Source organism: Homo sapiens, chromosome 1, assembly GCF_000001405.40.
Source record: "Homo sapiens chromosome 1, GRCh38.p14 Primary Assembly".
In the NCBI taxonomy this organism is placed as follows: domain Eukaryota; kingdom Metazoa; phylum Chordata; class Mammalia; order Primates; family Hominidae; genus Homo; species Homo sapiens.
The window spans coordinates 230,136,669-230,156,027 of record NC_000001.11 but is presented as its reverse complement, the minus strand read 5'-3'; the positions used below and the strand labels follow the sequence as shown (position 1 = coordinate 230,156,027).

The following is a 19,359-nucleotide window of genomic DNA, read 5'->3' as shown; positions in this document are numbered from 1 at the left end:
GCCCCATGACCAGGACACAGTCTCTCCCACCCAGACAGAGCCCACCACACAGGCCCTTAGCACTGATCCCATGGTTTTCCTGATCTGACACAATAGTTCCCTCCCCTCTCCATGTGGCAAAATCACTACAGAATTAGTCCTTTTAAAGCAAGGCTTTTGTCCTCCACTCAGAACTCCTGAGTGAACTGGAGGTTGACGCCGAATGTCTTAGCGACCCTCAGAGTGCCCTCACGACCTGGCCCTCAATCTAATCTCTCTCTTCCAGTCAGGATGGGCCATTTGTGATCTTCTGTGGGGTCCTTTGTGCTATGCACTTGGGAGCCCAGTTTTGGGGTTATAATCACTCTTTCTCTTAGAAATGGTCTTCAAATGACAAAAGCTCCAGTCCTCACAAAACCTAGCTCTGCCCATGGGACTGTCCTGGGAGAGTCCTGCCCTGTCCCTCCCAGCCCCAAAGGAGGAGACCCTGTCCTGATTCAGTCATTCCTGATCTGTTTTGGAAGATCCTGAAAGAAGCTAAAATTTCTTTATCTTGACCCTCTCTGAATAAGGCAGTTTTTAAAACAGCTACAGGTTGAATTGTATTCCAATTTTCAGTTCAAGGACAGCCAGCTGAAATGATGACCGGGATTAAGAGATGAGCTATAATTAGGGAGAGGCCGGTCTCTCCCGGAGGTCAGCGGCTGCAGGCAGGGCCCACCTCCGAGCGAAAACCTGCAGGGAGCCCTAGGCAGCCAACGAAGAACAGGGCGGGCAGGAGCCAGCACAAGGGCTCTCACAACCCCATGCAGGCCCCAAACGGTGACTGCCTCAGGACTTCCGCTCCACAGATGTGAGAGAAAGTGACGCTCTCACACAGAAGGGAAACCGAGGACCTGGGAAATACTTCCGCAGAAAACTGCACGCGGAAACGGGGTGGGGGGTGCATGCGGCGCGGGGCAGCCTCATCTGGGAGGACCCTGATGTTTGGAAACCAAAGCCCCAGCCCCAGACCAAGACCCCATCCAGCAAAGACCCTGTGGTCAGAGAAAGTCTTTTTAAGTGCTAGTACGTAAATATTAGAACTGCAAGGGGCCTTGGATGTCATGCCAAATGATAAAACCACAAGTTACCAATGTGATAAGGTGAGTTATAAATAACCTGACAGAGACTACCTGAGTAAGTATGCCAGGGCTGCCATAATAAAGTACTACAAACTGGGAGGCTTCAGGAACAGAAACACACTTTCTCACAGTTCTGGAAGTCTGCGCTCAAGGGGCGACAGGGTTTGTTCCTTCCGAGGGCCATGGGGGAAGATGCTGTTCCAGGCCTCTCTCCTTGGCTTAGAGGTGGTGCCTGTTGTCTATTCTCTTGTCACTGTCTTCCCTCCACGTGTGTCTGGCTCTGTCTGAATCCCCCATTTCATAAGGACACCAGTCATACTAGAGCCCATGCTGACGACCACATTTTAATTTGATTATATCTATAAAGATCTTATCTCCAAATAAAGTGACATTCTGAGGTCCTGGGGGTTAGGGCTTCATTGTCCCATAATACTACCTTCTCTCCCAGAAATTTCTCAGAAGGGGCAGAATAGGCAAATATAAGGGGGTCCAGAGATCTCTCACCTGTGCCGGTTTGGCACATTCCTTCTGACTCAAGATTATTTCTTAAAAATACCAACGGCATCAGCTCTGTACCAACTCGGGGAAAGCCAGAGCAGAGGGTGATGAGCTAAAGGGCCGGGGTTTCTTTTCTAGTAAGAATGTGGCCCACGTGGAGAAAAACTTATCCACTGTGGACGAAGGGCCTATGTCTCCACTGCAAGTGCAGGGTGGACGGCAGCTTGACTTCTGACAAGACTGAATGGTGAAATATTGAAAATGTACAAAATCCACATCCCCGTTGCACAATGGCAATATGCTCTTGGCCTCACAGCTCACCAGACACTGATTATGCAAGCTCTTTTCAAAAAGCACTGAGGCCCCAAGAAGCTAATCTGACAGAGACTTATTATTCTCCAAACAATGGGTGAAAAGAGAAACCATTTCTGAGTCTTTATAAGGTAGACACCCACGCAGACAGACCCACACGATAAATCTGCATGAGAGTTTGTAAGAGGCACTGGGCACCAGTAGCTTTTTTGTTGTTGTTTTGTTTTTACCAGTAGCTTTTATGAACATATCAGTTCCACCAGACCCCTCCACAGAGTGAATGGTGAGTGCCACCAACCAGGGGCCCCCGAGGCCACGCCAGGAGGCCCAGGAGTGGGAACAAAGGCTGTAATCCATCTCCAAGAGCGGAGTGGCCTCGGCCAGACAGACTGAGCTCACTGTGTCTGACAAAAGAAACTTTTCACAACTGAGACCTCTGGGTTGGAATCATGAAAAGAACTCAGGGGCGTGGGGCTGGAAGGGTACTTAGGGGCCTGATGATTGGTGAATCTGGAAGGCGTCCTCAGATGTTCTCGATGAATTAATTCCCCAGCCCTTTCAAAAAACACCACCAAGGCCACTGTAATGCTTGCTTCTACACAGAAAGCATTATGGGTGTTTTTTCTTTTTCTCTAATACATGAAAATGTGCTTACTGTGATTAAAAATAAAACTAAAAACGCAAAGAGACCCTTAAAATGTTGAAGGCTGACCCCCCATCAATGACTGTTTAAGTGTGTAGGTGTCCAGTCTGACTACAGAAACACTCCCGCATGTAAGGAGAAAAGAACCGATCATTAGCAGACATCTGAGTTTGTCTCAGGCATGGCAATGGGCCTATTCATTTTCATTCTCTCATTTAATTTTATCTCATTTAAATGTATTCAGGCCAGGGGCAGTGGCTCAGGCCTATAGTCTCAGCTACTCCACAGACTGAGATAAGAAGATCGCTTGAGCACAAGAGTTTGAGATTACAGTGAGCCATGATCACGCCACTGCACTCCAGCCTGGACAACACGGTAAGACCTCATCTCTAAAAATAAAAATAATAAATAAAATGTAAATAAGTATTCAGAAGGACTGAACGCAGTTTAGCCAAGTCACCAAGTATTGATTATGCTTCACTCACAGTGGACAAACACACTGAAGGCACAGAAAGATGGAGTGATTTTCCCTAAACCACAGCCAGAGAGAAGGCCATAGATACAGGCAGCAGGGCAAGAAGCTAAAGCCTGAGGAAGCAAAGGAAGTCCAAGAAAGGTGAGCAAATGAACATCACGTTAGAGCCAAGGACAGGGCTGGCGCAGATGGTCACTGCCTCACAATGACAAGCGGTTCAAAGAGGAAGCTACCTGAGAGTGGACGCAGGCTGAGGAGTGTCCCACTCACACAAAACACGAGTCTGTGTAGGAGAAGGATTATCTAGTTCTCTCATAGCTTCTTCTTATTTCCCTCCTGGCTATGCACTATCCTAGCAGCTTTCAAACTTTTTTGCCAAAACCCATAGTAACAAATAAATTTGATGTAGACATCCATCCCCCAAACCATGTATTTAAATATATACGTTATATAAATACATGCACGCCCATCCATCCACATACGGTGTCATAAAAGGGTACCTACTCTTACATGTATGATGTGCTCCAGTATTTTCTATTTAATTATTCATCATGAATACTGATGTTATTCTCCTCTATTAGTTTCATGATCTACTGAGTCACAACTTACAATTTGAAAAACCTTGCCCTCATCTTTGAAAGAGTCAGGTTCGAGATTCTAGCCAAGTGTCGGATGCGCTTACAGGCCATGGTTCCAAGCCCGACTGGGGATTCAAAGAAGTAAAAGGGAACCCATCAGCCTGAGCCCCCTGAGAGCTTTACTTTTGTCAGAGGCATGTGAGCCAAAGCAACTCCATCTTGAATAGGAGTTGGGTAAAATGAGGCTAAAACCTACTGGGCTGCATTCCCAGACAGTTAAGGCATTCTAAGTCACAGGATGAGATAGGAGATCGGCACAAAATAAGGTCATAAAGACCTTGCTGATAAGACAGGCTACAGTAAAGGAGCCGGCCAAAACCCACCAAAACCAAGATGGCCACAGGAATGACCTCTGGTCGTCCTCACTGCTACACTTCCACCAGCACCATGATAATTCACAAATGCCATGGCAATGTCAGGAAGTTACCCTATATGGTCTAAAAAGGAGAGGCATGAATAATCCACCCCTTGTTTAGCATATCATCAAGAAATAGCCATAGAAATGGGCGACCAGCAGCTCTCGAGGCTGCTCTGTCTATGGAACAGCCATTCTTTTATTCCTTTACTTTTGTAATAAACTTTTCACTTTGCACTACGGACTTGCTCTGAATTCTTTCTTGAGCGAGATCCAAGAACCCTCTCTTGGGGTCTGGATCGGGACCCCTTTCCTGTAACACTGGTTCATCTGTAGTTGAAGCCATCAATGAACTGAGGAGCTCTGCTTTCCTTCCTTAGCTTACGTGGTGGGCACAGGGACATGTGGGGAGATCCTACAGAAGAAGGCACTGCTGTAGAGAGAATCAGAAATTCTCCTCCCAGGGCTATCTTGGGGAGGCCGGGTAGTCAGAAAATCATTGCTTCTTCAGGAAACAGCACTGTTTACAAAACAACTAGACCATGCATTACTTCGAGGGCATCATCCTGTGCCCCAAAGCCACCTTACATATCTGGCTTGGCCATCATCCTGAGCTTCCTGGAGGCACTACGTGGACAATCCGACCCTCATCTTCTACCATCACCCTGTCACGGGTGTGCAGCGCTGTGCTGCGATGTCAACGGTGGTCAGAGCAAGTGACACAACAGTGCGTTCTACTGGGACACTTCTCCAGGGGCCTTCCCTCCAGGAGGACATCCCGGAGGTCCAGAAAGCTGCAGGGGAATGGAGGGAAAAGACAACGGTGGCCACGGTGATCGTCAACTGTAATCATTATGTTGGCAAAGCTATAAAATCAAACCCAGGACACCACACAAGATCCTGAACATATTTCCACAAGAGGAAGAATATTGTGCTCCAGGCAACCCAGGTAGTGCACCTTAAATAGGAAAGAGTTCAACAAGTCACACAAAGTTACAGACACCTGCATGCCGGGTGCACCAGCCTCGTCCTGAGGAGTTGAGAATGGTGGCCCTGGCTGGGAATTCTCTAAGTTGCTCTGCCACTGGGAAAATAGATTCCTTAGGGAAGCAAAGAAAACGATGGATTCCTTTGTGCTCAGAAGACAGCAGGCTTCCATCCAGAAAACTGCACAGTCAGGGCCAAGCAGTCAAAGCCCCCATTCTGAACGCCAAATCCCTGGGTGGGAAAAGGAGTGTGTGTCTGTGCCTCCCGCCATCCTAGAAGGCCAAGGAGAGGCTGAATGTCGCAGCGCATTCTCTAATGAGGAGCCAGGCACTCCAACTGCTCCACAAAGGTGTCTTAGACAGAATTATAAGTAGAGCTTAAGGTCTAAAAACAAACAAACAAAACAAAAATGCTCTACCAAAGAGATGAGACTTTCCTTTCAGAATCAAGTCACACATCCCTCCCCAATTTCCAACTCCAACTCTAACAGAGACATTCACTTCTCTGCAAAGGTTGCGGACAAAAACAAAGCGGGCAGAAAGAGGAAGTGGAAGGAGTTGTTGTACTATGTCTTTTTAAAGCAGCTGTTGGAAACCGTTTCAAAGGTTGAAAAAGGATTTTTGTTTTATCCAAATATAAGTTTCTGAGAAGAAATATGACACCTTGGGTGATGTATGAAGTCATGCCTTTGATTCCAAGCCTGTCAAGCCTCTTCTGAGTGTTACATCTCAGGCTTCCTATGGTGAGGTAAAGAGGGAAGCTTCGGTACAGAAAAACGGCAGCACACGGAGGTAGGCAGCTTTGCAGTCACCAAGCAGGCGATGGCTCTCCTGGCCCCAGGGCGGAGCCAGTGCATGTCTTTTAAGCCACTCATGGGCTCCGCATCCAGGAATGGAGAGCACCCTCCTAGGTCTCTGCCTCAGCAGCCCCACAAGCCCACCCAGCCATCCTCACCCTGGGGTCCATCATACTGTGTGGCTGTCAACCTCTATTATGGTATAATTAAGAAAGACACCAACGGTGTTGAGAAGCGTTTCTGAGAATTAAATCAAGAGTGAGAAGCCCTCAGAGGCACCCCATGTGTCAAGATCAATTGATCTGATGGCCACCGGAGAAGCCCTGCTGAAACAATTCGGCAAATCTGCCCAGAGACGGCTCTGCCAGTCTCTGGAGACAGAACTCTTAAAGAGGCAGGAAAGACCAGAGGGAGGTTTTGCAGTTATTCACGCCATGCTATTCTAAAAGTGAGGAGGGCTTGGCTGTAATTTCCCACTCTGGACATTGAATGATTCAATGTATCTGTTTATATTTACATGGCTGAGGCATAAAACAACAAAACAAAAAGCCCACTCCCACCTCATTAAGCCCACCTAGGTAACACTGTGGCAGGACGCACACAAACCAATCAGGCGGTTTTTAAAAACCCTCAAAATCTAAGGTCCCTCAACCGCTTGTTGCACTCAATACATGCCCCTGTCTACAGTGGCTCATCCTAGAATCACTACTACAGAGAAGGACTATGTTTAGGCAGAAATCTTGCTGCCCTCAACGCCAGACCTAAGAATCACTGCAATAATAGGATGCTCAAACCACCAAGCTATTGGCAGCCTGTAAGAGAAACACCCTATAAAACAGCAAGCAGGCAGCAACCATCACCCACCCTCCAGGGATGTTCCTGAACCCAGTGCTCAACCACACAAGTCCAATCTAGGTGGCCTCGCAATGTCCTCCCACCCGCTCCAGGAGAGACAAGGTCAAGACCATAAAATGACTTCAGGAGCCATAAAAGCAGAAGCAGCACCTTCTGAAATCAAGCAATCAAGAATTAAACAAGTAGGCTAGGCTCAGTGGCTCACGCCTGTAATCTCAGCACTTTGGGAGGCTGAGGCAGGTGGACTGCCTGAGCCCAGGAGTTCGAGACCAGCCTGGGCAATATGGAGAAACGCCGTCTCTACAAAAAATGCAAAAATTAGCTGGGCGTGGTGGTACGTGCCTGTGGTCCCAGCTAGTCAGATGGCTGAGGCAGGAGAATCATTTGAGCCCAGGAGGTCAAGGCTGCAATGAGCTGTGATCACTCCAGCCTGGGTGACAGGGCGAGGCCCTGTTTAAAAAAAAGGTGGGGAGGAGTGGGGCTGGGTATGGTGGCTTATGCCTGTAATCCCAACACTTTGGGAGGGTGAGGTGGGTGGATCTCTTGGGCCCAGGAGTTTGAGACCAGCCTGGGCAATAGAGCGAAACCCTGTCTCTACTAAAAATACAAAAATTAGCTGGGCATAGTGGTGCACACCTGTAGTCCCAGCTACTCGGAAGGCTGAGGTGGGAGGATCACCTGAGCCCAGGGACATCAAGGCTGCAGTGAGCTGTGATCACACCACTGCACTCCAGCCTGGGCAACAAACCTTGTCTCAAAAACAAAAATAGAAAGAAAGAAAAAAAAAGAAAACAAAACCCCTTGAAAAGGCTGACCCACACCCTGGAGTTAACTCCGGAAGGCGAGTGAGGGACCGCTAGAAGCAAGGCGTGGAGCCGCCTCTGCAGCAAGGACAGAGAGCACTTGTGTTAAACGAGGGCTTTCCAGGGCTGTGGGACCTGTTGGATGCACCCAGGTTACCTGTGACTTGCAGATTTAGAAAAGGAGTCCACAGTGAGGAAGGGACTGTGCTGAACTACTCCAGCCCTGAAAACGCCCCCTTTCCCTATCAGGTTTCTGGCTTCAGCTCTAGGAGGAAAATAACGCAGTGCCACAGGGCTCTCCCTCTGAGTGCACTGTGCACGCCCCGAGCTGGCCACTGATCTGGTTGTGCCGGTGGGCAGCCCTTCACCTAAAGTCCACCTCGTGGCTCTCAGCCACGCAGCGCCACTGTCTTTTCAGATTTGAAGCTTTAAAGCGGGATGGGGAAGAGTGTGGGCAAGTGGGAGGCATGTGTCCAGTGGGGCTGGACACACACACAGGTATGTAAGAGGGCTGCACCTGTATGTAATAATACAGTGACTATCCTCGAGGTTGCTGAGTGATCATAGTTTAGGAAACTAACTAAACAGGGACAGTGTCTGGGGACAGAGCGTTTGCCCTGAAGGTGTGGACGTGTGCTAGGAGCATCTACCACTGCCAACCTCCAACAAGCAATCATGCTTAGAAATAGCAGCTAAAGACGAGCTCTCTTCATGAAGCCTGCAATGCCTTCCAGGCTGGGAGCCAGAGGTGACCCACAGGCAGAGCTGAGGCCCTCACTCAGGAGACAGAAGCTCTCCTTCAACGGGAAGAGGGCAACAGGGCAGGAAGGAGGGACTCTTGGAGGAGGAAGGCAGCTTCTCTCAACAGTGACTGTTTAGCCTCAACCACTGCAGGGGAATGTGGCCACACCACTAGCCAGCCACTGTTCGCAGAATCGAAGAGTAGGCCAGGAGTGGCCCTGGCCTGAGATTATTTTACAACAGAGAAGAAAAGAAAAGCCCCCGCGGGACCAGGAAAGGAGAACCAGTGGCCAAGCCAGGCACACGGCAGAGCAGGCCATGCTTTCAAGGGAGAGGCGACACCAGTCTCAGCCCACAGCAGTCCCGTGGCAGGGGCTCTAGGAATGTTGGCCAAGAGTCAAGGACAGCAAAGTGAATATAGGCAAACCCACACCTTAACCCCAAAGTAGGCGGCTTTCAGCTAGAAGGTTTGAACACAATGAATGTTGAATAAAATGAAGTCTTTATAATTCACGGTCGATCTTGGAAACTAGAAAATGCCAGAGGAAAGGGTTTCAGTTCATCAGTCCAGGGACAACATCTTGGAAGGAACACAAAGGTAATTCCTCCAAATTGAGGATGCTGTCAAATCAGAGAGCATTCTTTTGAGAATCATGGTCTGAAATCTCCCCCAGCTTGGCACTGCCCACCCCTCATCCCCAACATCTCACCAGCTGGCCAGATATGCAGACACTGCCTCCTGTTTCTCTAACTCTGGCCCCTCCTTCCCAATTCACCCTGCCACAGCTGAAGGCCTGCTTCCCTTCTCACCTGGGCTCTAGTGGCCCACCTGCCTCCTGTCTGTCCCCTGCCACGACTCCCACACAGTGCGGCCAGCGGGACAGACACCGAGATCTGACAGTGCAGGCGGTAGCCAGCTCTGGACTGCAGCATACAGGACCCTGCGTGGTTCTTACCTAACCTCCTCACAGGTCACGTTTCCAGCATAACGCCTCCCCGCCAACACGTGGGGCCGCTCTGAGGTGCGTGCAGCCCCTGGCATGCCATTTCACTTACATGCACGACACCCACCCTATGCCCTCTCTCCTTCCCACCCCTCCCCCTGCAACCTGGGCCATCCCTCCAGGTTAGTCCCAATGCCGTTTCATTAATGCATCTTACTATACTAATTTGTTTCCTTTTCCTAAATGCCCCAGCTCCCTGAGAGCCGAGTTTGCTCCTTTCTCATCTAATACTGAGTGTGCAGTGTATGGTTGGTATAAGGTGGCTGAGTTGTAAATGAACACAGGAGTGCTTCCCAAGCAGGCTTTTCTGAGCCCACACCTGCTTCACTCCAACCGGGTCAGGAAGGGAGGCAGGCAGTGGCCTCCGATCAACACCTCCAGAGGAAATGAAAATACTGTCCATATTAAGGAAATAACCAGAAATGTGATTTAGCTATTAACAAAAAAACAAAACTGAAAGAGGAAGAGGGGTGACCAGGCACACATAAGACATGAATAGCTGCGAACAAGTTCTCAGACCTGGTGCGGGAGAGAAGGCGCGGGACTCCTCCCAAAGCTTCCTCCTCCAGGGCTCCCTAACGAGATACATGAAAAGGGAGGGGAAAAATAACTACAGTCTTTTAGCTTATCAATTTCTCACATCCAACTCCAAACAGCAGAAATACAAAGACTGTCTTTTTCACTCCTAACCCAGGAGGAAGAAGGAAAAGTGCTTATTTTTAGCCAAGCCAAAAAACATAAGCAGCTACAGATTAATAAGAAGCAGAGAGAAAAAAGAACCCTCACAAGAAAGCAGAACCTCAAGGAACACCAGAAGCAGGTCCACTACAGCCCAAAGCAGCCTGGACAAGGAGTGGACCAACGTCTTCTCTCTTAATCACAGGATAATAAAAATGCAAGCGGCGAGCATCTTTGAAAGGCACACTTCCCAGAGGGGCTGGGCAGGCAGGCAAGCAAGCCGAAATGCTACCTCTCATTTCTTTACAATTAAGTAATTACAGGGACCTTGTTTCAAACATGGTATTTCCAAGTCCAGATGGAACCACTGCCACCAAGAAGACAGGTGACGTTCTGGGCCTGCCTGACGTCTGGGCTTGCCTGACGTCCTGCTGTGCTGCATCAGGCACCACACGGGGCAAGGCCCCCATTGGCACTATGCCAAGGTGGGTGGCTTTCAACCAACTAGCTGTGGATAAGAATCTCAAAAGGCAAAAGAAAACCGTGTAAATGTCTAAGCCCCGACCTCAGCGGAGGAATCCCCAGAGAACCACCAAGTTGGCTGCATTCTCTAAAAGTCTGTATTTATTACAACCATCCCTACAGTATGTGATAACAACAAAAACAGAGGGAAATGGGGGACTGGCTTCAAACACCAGACACCTAAAAGGGTTCCTTTGGGGGAGCTTCCCTTGGGGGAAGACAGGATTTCCAGGACAAACCCCCTCAGAAGGCCCAGGCCCGACTGCCAGAGTCTGAGGCCTGGCCAGGAAACCCCACAAACTTAGGGGTCAGGGGAGCTGACAGTGCAGATTTCTGAGACGCTCACTGAGAAATTCAGATTCGGCCAGTCTGCACTGGAACCTGCCTGCTAACAAGCAACACAGGGGGCGATCTGAGAATGGGGTTGGGGAGGGGGTGCCAAGGACAGTCTTGGTACTGAGGCAGGAGGGGCCCACAGGCACATGGGTCGCTCTAAGTGTAACGGGATGAGTGAGAGCCTGCAGATGCTGCAGCAGAAAACAGATGACGCAGCTCTGGAGTGGCCATCGGGAGACCCTTGGGATGCTCCGCCGGGCCTCTCACCTTGCTTGGTTTGTAGGTTACCAAGCAAGAGAGGAGCCTGACATCACTACACATCTCACCTCAAGGCCTGCGGGGAGATCACTGAAGGCTGCCAAAGATAAACTCATCCTTCCCACAAGAAGCTTAGAAGCCACTGTATCAGCAACACCATAACCTCTGCCCCAAATCAACCACCTACTCCCAGGCTTTTTAATACTTTATAGTTGCTCTTCAAATCCCTTAGTCTTTAATTAATCCTCACCCCACATAAGAACACTGGCACAAGGTTAGTGGTACTTACTTTGAAGTAAGCATCACAAGAAGAAAAATAACATCCGAGATTTGCTTTAAAACACACCACTACCACCCCTAACTCCCCACCACACACACACAGGCATAAACAGGAAAAGACAAAATAAGCATGGCGAAATCCTGGTGGGTGCTTGGTACCTAAGAGTATACAGCGTCTATTGTTGCAGATGTTGGCACAATAAAACTTTCTTAAGGAAAAAATACTGAAGTCGACATAATTATTACAACCATAATCCTACTTCCAGTAGCGAGGAACACAAACCGCCCTTCACATGCAGGCACCGGCTACTCTGAGCTTTTATCATTTGGTGCTGCGGGTGACGCTGGCTCTGTGATCCTCTGGTTATAGAGAAGCCGAGTGTAGTAGTCTTTCTTGGTTTCAGGCACAAAACAGGACAAATGTTCTGGATACTAACTACTGTCTCCATGTAATTATTAACATTTCCCCTTTCATTCTCAAAAGCACTCAGGTCTGGACACTAAATAGCATGGTCACTCTAGATACAGGGAGAGGGTTGTGAAATAACAGTGTCAACTCTTTGACATGTGGCCCAGAAGGCAGCACGGAGACGTCTCCTACCCCAACCTGCTCTGCCTCCCGATCCAGGTGTGGCCAGGAGGATCTGCATCAAGCCACCTCCCACGACACAGCTGTCAAGCACTCGCAGGTGCTGCTTTTGTAAGTGGAATATGTTCTGGCAAATATAGGAGGTATCGTTCTGAATGTCCTAAGATGTGTCACCTCCATTTAAAAGAGTGCTATTTTGAAAGTGATTAGAATTTAAAAGTTAGCAATTAAAGCCTAATTACAAAGAAAATTCTTGATATCTGACAAACAGCCAAATAACAGGAGGGACCATCATCAGGACAAACAAGATGAGCTGGTGATCGCTGAGCAGGGCGACAGTTAAATTCTGCCTGTCACAGCTGGGGGCATCTGGTTGGCGCATCAATGTCACCCACGTGCGTGTGGCAGATAAAGACAAGCACAATACCCTTTCAGTTATCAGAGCAGCAACAGAGGCCTGGAAGAACTCAATGCTTTAATAAGAGCGTGGGGCTGACACTTTCCCATGTGAAAAGCAACATGCTGCGTAAAGCCAAGAAAAAACCAAGGAAGTGTTCAGGCCGACAGACGACCTCTTTCTCCTTGGCCCCTACTGCACCTGCCATGCCTCTTTACAGGTCAGCAGCAGCATCCACAAGAACTTCAGCAGGACCACCCCGCAGTTCTGCATGGGACTTCAGGACCCCATGAAGGATGGGCAGCGGTGCTGTGTGACTGTGGAACCTGCACACACCACACCTTGTTGCTGCTTCTGCTCTTCTGCTCTCGAATGTCTCCAGTTCTGCATTTCATTCCTAGCAGCTGCTGCAAACAACTGGACATCTCTTACCAAAAACTAACTACACCTTCCAGAGAAGCTCTCAGGCTGCGGATTCCCCTGATTTTTCACACGCAGAAACTGAAAGCCAGAGAGAGTGAGGACCCTGCCCAAAGCCCAGATGCTCACAGGGAATGGGGCTGACAGTGCCCAGTACCCCAATTCCCAGAATCCACTGCAAGGGAAGGACTAGGAGGTTCAGTCTCTGGACTCAGGCTCCAGGAGTACCAGAAGCCTAGAGGAGCCAGCACCATTCTCTTCACCAGCTGCTCAGACATGGACTTGGGCAGCTCTCCAGCCCACTCCCCTAAAAACAGTTTGAACCAGGGATGGGCCCAGCCTGCAGGCTGCTGCTCTGAAGAGCAGCCACAGGAAGGAAATGGCTCTCCTGGAATTGCTGGCCCCCAGGACCCAGGAGAGCTCAAACCTTCTCCCAGGGTACGGGCCAATTCTCACATAGAGAGCATCTGGCTTTAAATGAACAGAAGGAGGATAATTTATAAGCAAGTGTTCAGAAAAACCCAGCCTTCCCACGCAGGCCCCACAGTAAGACAGAGGACAAGAAGTAGCTGACCAGCAAGTATGCAGACAGCATTCAGCAAATGAGCATGCGAACTTAGGTGAACAGAGCAGGCAACGACCAGCTTAGGAAAGTTACACTTTAGACTTCCAGACTCACCAAAGCACAGGCGTATTTTTACCCATAATGTTCTAGACACTTAAATGGTGCTTACTATGCACGTACTAGGTATATTTAATTATATTAACCCAGGTCACCCTCAGAAGAGCCCTAGGAGGTAGGTACTACTTTTTTCCCCATTTTACAAAGGAGGAAACAGAGGCACACAGAGGTTAAGTTACTTGCCCCAGATCAAGAGTGATCAGCTGGCGGGGCTGGATATAAGCCCGGGCCCTTAACGACTTCACCATACAGCCTCTGAGCATGGGGGGCACAGTGAGTCCCCCTACACAGACTACTTGGTCAGTGCCACTCTAAGAGCCACCTGGAGTTCTCGCAGACCCTGTGTGGCCCAAGTGCGGAAGAATGCTGATGTGGAAAGAAGTGGCCGGGTGGATGGAGGCCATCCCTTATGCTTCCTGTGGCCTGGTGGACGGATGCCATCCCTCATGCTTCCTGGCTGGGATGCCACCGTTCTCCTTCCCCACCCTCCCCCCACCTCCACAGGAGGTCCTAATCCCAAAATGCAGCCCAGCCTTTTATTAAGCAGTGTGGTGGCAAGGTCTCGGCCAGGGGTGGTAGCTCAAACCTGTAATCCCAGCACTTTGGGAGGCCAAGGCAGGAAGATCACTTGAGGCCAGGAGTTCAAGACCAGCCTGGGCAACACAGTGAGGCTCTCGTCTCTAACAAAAAAACAAACAAAAAATTTGCCTGGCATGGTGGTAAGCACTTGTCATCCTAGCTACTTGGGAGGCAGAGGCGGGAAAATAAGCCCAGGCGTTTGATGCTGCAGTGAGATATGATTGTGGCACGCACTTCAGCCTGGACAATAGAGCGAGACCCTGTCTCAAAAAAAAAAAAAAAAAAAAAAGGAAAACAAAAGAAAGCGGGGTCTTGAAGAGATATCTGTATACCCATATTTCACAGCAGCACTATTCACAATAGCCATAAGGACCCACGTGTCCATCAATGGGTGACTAGATCAACAAAATGTGGCCTAACCATAAAATGGAATATTCAGCCCTAAATAGGGAGAAAACTCTGACGCGCGCTACAACATGGATGAACCCTGAGGACATTATGCTAAGTGAAATAAGCCAGTCACAAAAGGATAAATACTGGATGATTCCACTAACATGAGGGACCTAGAGGAGTCAAATTCATGAAGACAGAAAGTAGAATGGTGGTTGCCAGGGGGAGGGGAGGGGAGAAGGGAGTCAGTGTTTAATGAGACAGAGTTTCAGTTTTGCAAGATGAAAGAGTTCTGTGGATGCGTGAGGATACTGAGCTGTAAATTTAAGGATGGTTAAGACAGCAAATTTTATGATGTATGTATTTTACCAACTTTTAAGGATTAAAAACAAAGTAAGGAACCCAGCCCGGGTCTGGAGCCAGAGCCTGTACGAGTCCCTTCTGCGCAGTGTTAAGATGGGCAGGATCTCTCCTTTCAGCTGTAATATTAAGACTCCAGGACACACTGTCAACAAATGTTGCCAACAAAATAAATCAGTTCCTACTAATCTCCTGTGGGGTGATCCAATTCACATTCACTCACATTCCCCTTGAAGAAACAGAATGTCTTTAAGCATGGTTACCTACAGATCTATGCATTCTTGTTTCGTTTGTCATTTGTTTCAAAATAGACACACATTTGCAACGAATGCTGGAATTTTTCAATGATGACACAAAAGCAGAGAAAATAAGAATATAGCTATTTCAGAACTAGAAAGGATACGTATCTTCCCTTCCACACTATCACTTGGTAATGGAAAAGAGGTCCTCTGAATACACTGAAATACTGTACAGCTGGGTTGTATAATGGCATATACTACTGGGAGTCACATTATTTTGTGTTTTGCTACATGATTTAGACAATTCATTTACTACTGAGTTATGCACAAGCTTTTCCCTGAGGAAAAGGGGAAGGGAGGGGTGAGGAGAAAGGTTCGAATGATCTCTAAACACTTGACACAGACAGAACTCATTGTGGGAGGGGAGAAGATAAAACCATAATACACGTTTGCAGAGAAGCCTCCAGCTGTGGCAGCGCGTCACTCCAGGAAGCACAGGCTGGAGGAAGGGGGAAGTTTCCCGAGCACCACTGACAGTACTCCCGGTTCCGAGGCTGGATTTCTATAGCAACGGACAGCAGCTTCACGGGAAGTCACGCTCCACTGTGCTCCCATCCCCTCAGTAGGACAGGGACCACTCTCTGTCACCTAGGCACTGCTGTCCAGGGGCTGGGGCACTGGGAAGGGCAGGGACTTGGCCCAGGGCAGTGGAGCCAGGCAGTGGCAGGGGTAGGAATCCAACTCCAGGCCTTGGCCAAACCTACCAGCCACACTACTGTCTGTGTACACACTACTGGCAGGGACTGTTGCCTGGTTAACCATCACCTGTCTCCAAACATGAAGCACAGGCTGGCAGAGGTGAGCCATCCCCTAAACCCAAGCCTTGGGATTCATTCCTCCTCTCAGGCAGAGGTGAGCTGGCCATTAAAAAGCCGACCCCCAAGGGGAAGAAAGGGGTGTCCAAGAAGCAGACAGAAGCCCCGTGGGGGAGGGCGCACTCAGCAGACAGTTCCAGTACAGCTGACGCAGGGACCCGGCAGCCTGGACCAGGCACAGCCTCTCTGGGCCTGGGGTGGTCGCAGGATGTCTGAGGAAGGCTGGGCTGATTCATCTTTATGGTCCCTTCCTCCCAGGGCTACGCAATTCTGTGAGTCTGTGGATGTACAACCTGAATGACCAGCCCACAGGACAATTAAAGGTTCCCAGGAGCTGAAAGAACTTCATTCCAAGTAGATTATTTCCGCAACAGCCCAAAGCAAAACAACTCTCCATAAACCTGAGTAATCTTCATAGGTGGGAACGAAACTGGATTTCCTTTAATACACCAGTTCATCCTTCCTTACCCCTTAGTCCATGCAACGGCAAATTATTACGCTCGCAGTGCTTTGCTTGTATTTTCCTTGGAATTTTACCAAAAAACAAAAAATCCCTTACTATTCTACTGCTCTTTCCATTGGTGGCCATTTTCTTACAATTCTAGCTGTTGTCAGTGGAACAGGTGCTGGTTCTGGACTGCCTGATAGGCTTACAGTGGCTCCCCTCCAGGCCCAGTGCCAGCAGCCCTGCTGCAGAATAACCGTCCTCCCTTCATGGGGCAGGAGGAGTGAGGCGTTGCTGAAGGCAGAGGCTGAGACCCTGAACTCCAGGCTGCACTGTGCTGTCTTAGCCTAGAAGAGGGGTCTTGGTGTGTCCCATGCAGCTTGGAAGTTGTGGCAGGGAACCGAGAGGGATAAACTTCTCATCAGAAGGGACACATGTGGCCAGGAAGGAGCACTTGGCTTCAACGATAACATCGGGATTCTTCAGATTTAGCAAGAGGACCCTGATTGTTCTCATCTAAATGTCTTCATTTAAATATAAATCTCTGAAATGGGGATTATTAGATACCTTTCAAACAGTAAGGTGAGGGGACCAAAGCCGGGTAAAGTGGCTGTCAATGGTCAACAGGAAGTAGCAGCTAGAAAAAGCCAGAAGCTCTTGTTGGTCTCCTCACACCATAACCCCCGTGAGGGTAGACACTGAGTGCTCATGTCAGATGTGTTTGAACCAGAGTGACTCCATCTTGAATAGGGTAAAATGAGGCTGAGACCTACTGGCTGCATTCCCAGGAGGTTAGGCGTTCTCAGTCACAGGATAAGACAAGAGGTCAGCATGAGATACAGGTCATAAAGAACCCACTGATAAACAAAACAGGATGCAGTGAAGAAGCTGCCAAAACCCACCAAAACCAAGATGGCTACAAAAGCCACACCTGGTCATCCTCACTGCTCATTATATGCTAATTATAACACAATAGCTAAAAGACGCTCCCATCAGTGCCATGACAGTTTACAAATGCCATGGCAACGTCAAGAAGTTACCGTAGATGGTCTAAAAGAGGGAGGAACCTTCAGTTCCAGGAAAATCCCTGCCCCTTTCCCACGAAACTCATAAAAAGCCCACCTCTTATTTAGCATATGATCAAGAAATAACCATAAGTATACTCAGTCAAGCTGCCCATGCCACTGCTCTGCCTATGGAGTGGCCATTCTTTCTTCTGTTTCATTTTTTTTTTTTTTTTTTTTGAGACAGAGTCTCGCTGCATCGCCCAGGCTGGGGTGCAGAGGCGTGATCTCAGCTCACTGCAACCTCCACCTCCTGGGTTCAAGCGATTCTCCTGCCTCAGCCTCCCAAGTAGCTGGGATTACAGGCACGCACCACCATGCCTGGCTAATTTTTGTGTTTTTAGTAGAGATGGGGTTTCACCATGTTGACCAGGCTGGTCTCTTACTCCTGACCTCAGGTGATCCGCCCATCTTGGCCTCCCAAGGTGCTGGGAATACAGGCGCTCTGAGCCACCATGCCTGGCCCTGTTTATTTTCTTAATAAACTCGCTTTCACTTTACTCCATGGACTCACCCTGAATTCTTTCTTGTGCAAGATCCAAGAACCGTCCTTTGGGGTCTGGATGAGGACCCCTTTCCAGTAACACTTGGGCAATGGCAGATGAAAGGAGAAGAGGCCACAGACAGAGGTCTGGAAAAGACGCACGCAACGACATGCAAGGTGTTTTTTCTATTAAGTCATCACTGAACAAATTCCAAGGAGAAAAAGGTAAAATGGATGCAGGAGGATTAGAATGAAGCACTACTGCTTGTAAAACAAATCAAAACTAAGAACCTAGGAAACGATAATAATGCTGTTTAAAGACTTGAAGGAAATCTCTATTTCCAACAACGTCAACAGAAATCAAAGGAGAATATATTTCACTTTTCAAGAGTGAAAGATAATAAAAGTCAAACCCTATACAACATCAATCCTGAGCCAAATCCTATCTTATCTCTACTTTTTTCTTCTCCTTTTCAACGTGTGTAGCTAAACCAGGTTGCAATCTAGAGCTGGACTCGTCCAGAAAGCCTGGCAAACATCCACAGCTGTGACAAGATGCTGACGAGCCTGTTGCAGTGGGGTCTTGATGCTTCCACTGGGGAGGAATCAGGAGAATGTAAGTAAAAAGCAATGAAACTTCTGCAAATAATTAAGTAATTCACATCCACCCCTTGAAGAGAAAATAATTCCTCCCTTGTCACTGTGACAGCCTCGGCTGGCTGCCCAGCTGAGAACACCCAGCAAGCACCCTCTCAGCAAAGCCAGGTGGGGAGGGGAGAGGTCAGCCACTGCAGCCTGCAGGCTCTCTGACCATGGGCACCTCCACAGCAGACCCTCCCAGCCACCAAGGACATCTGGCCCAAACACAGCATGAAGCAGAAGTGGCTTCGGCCATATCCACCACCTCTGTGCAGGCTGTCACACAGAACCAACCCCACCCCAGCCTACGTGAAGCTCCATGCTGGAGCCCCAGAGCAGCGGGACAGATCACTGATTCCCTTCTATGAAGCATGTGTGCCTCCCTGCATCCACTCAGGCTCCAGTGAAAAGCACTATTTGGCTCCCCCAAAGCTTATTGGGTGCAGGCGGGGGTGGGAACAGTCCACACGCCTCAGCTCCACTCCCCAGGGAAATGAGTATGAAAACAGGAGCTCCAGCAGGAAAGAATCAGCCTTTTGGTTCAAGGAAACGGTCTCTTAGCTTCGGAATAGCCCACTGACTATGGAAAAATGCTCTCGCCCCCAACCACGCAGGGCCTGTGTGTCTGGCTTCGCTGTCCGTGAGGTGAAAGCATCCGTGAAGCAGAGTCCCGGCTGAACTGCGGGAAAAGCAAAATGCACAGACGGCCGGCTCTTCGGTCTGAGGGTGATTTCAACCTGTTCTTGTTGAATGACCTTGGACCAGATAAATGCCATTGAGCTTCCCGTACAATGGCACTAGCAGCAACCTCTTCCCACTCGCCTCTCTCCAAGTCCCTGTGAAGCTACAAACAAGCGGTGTTTGGAAAATTCTAATAATAGCATCAAAGCGGAACGTTGCCCCCGTTATTTCT

The 19,359-nt window shown here is 48.9% G+C and overlaps 1 protein-coding gene across 3 annotated transcripts in view, besides 4 other annotated features; it reads right to left on the bottom strand.

The window, feature by feature from the left end:
- GALNT2 (polypeptide N-acetylgalactosaminyltransferase 2) overlaps positions 1-19,359 on the bottom strand; it is a 224,334-nt gene that overhangs the window by 126,095 nt on the left and 78,880 nt on the right. The window lies entirely within an intron of this gene.
- Positions 5,577-5,806: an enhancer, noted in NCBI's record as "active region_2716". NCBI's record gives its function as "activates an Ori minimal core promoter by ATAC-STARR-seq in GM12878 lymphoblastoid cells {active_cell/tissue: GM12878}" and the evidence as "EXISTENCE:reporter gene assay evidence [ECO:0000049][PMID:35858748]".
- Positions 15,140-15,732: an enhancer, noted in NCBI's record as "H3K27ac-H3K4me1 hESC enhancer chr1:230276043-230276635 (GRCh37/hg19 assembly coordinates)". NCBI's record gives its function as "activates a minimal SCP1, AML or CMV promoter by ChIP-STARR-seq in naive H9 embryonic stem cells {active_cell/tissue: H9 hESC(naive)}" and the evidence as "EXISTENCE:reporter gene assay evidence [ECO:0000049][PMID:30033119]".
- Positions 18,110-18,610: an enhancer, noted in NCBI's record as "H3K4me1 hESC enhancer chr1:230273165-230273665 (GRCh37/hg19 assembly coordinates)". NCBI's record gives its function as "activates a minimal SCP1, AML or CMV promoter by ChIP-STARR-seq in primed H9 embryonic stem cells {active_cell/tissue: H9 hESC(primed)}" and the evidence as "EXISTENCE:reporter gene assay evidence [ECO:0000049][PMID:30033119]".
- Positions 18,611-19,111: an enhancer, noted in NCBI's record as "H3K4me1 hESC enhancer chr1:230272664-230273164 (GRCh37/hg19 assembly coordinates)". NCBI's record gives its function as "activates a minimal SCP1, AML or CMV promoter by ChIP-STARR-seq in primed H9 embryonic stem cells {active_cell/tissue: H9 hESC(primed)}" and the evidence as "EXISTENCE:reporter gene assay evidence [ECO:0000049][PMID:30033119]".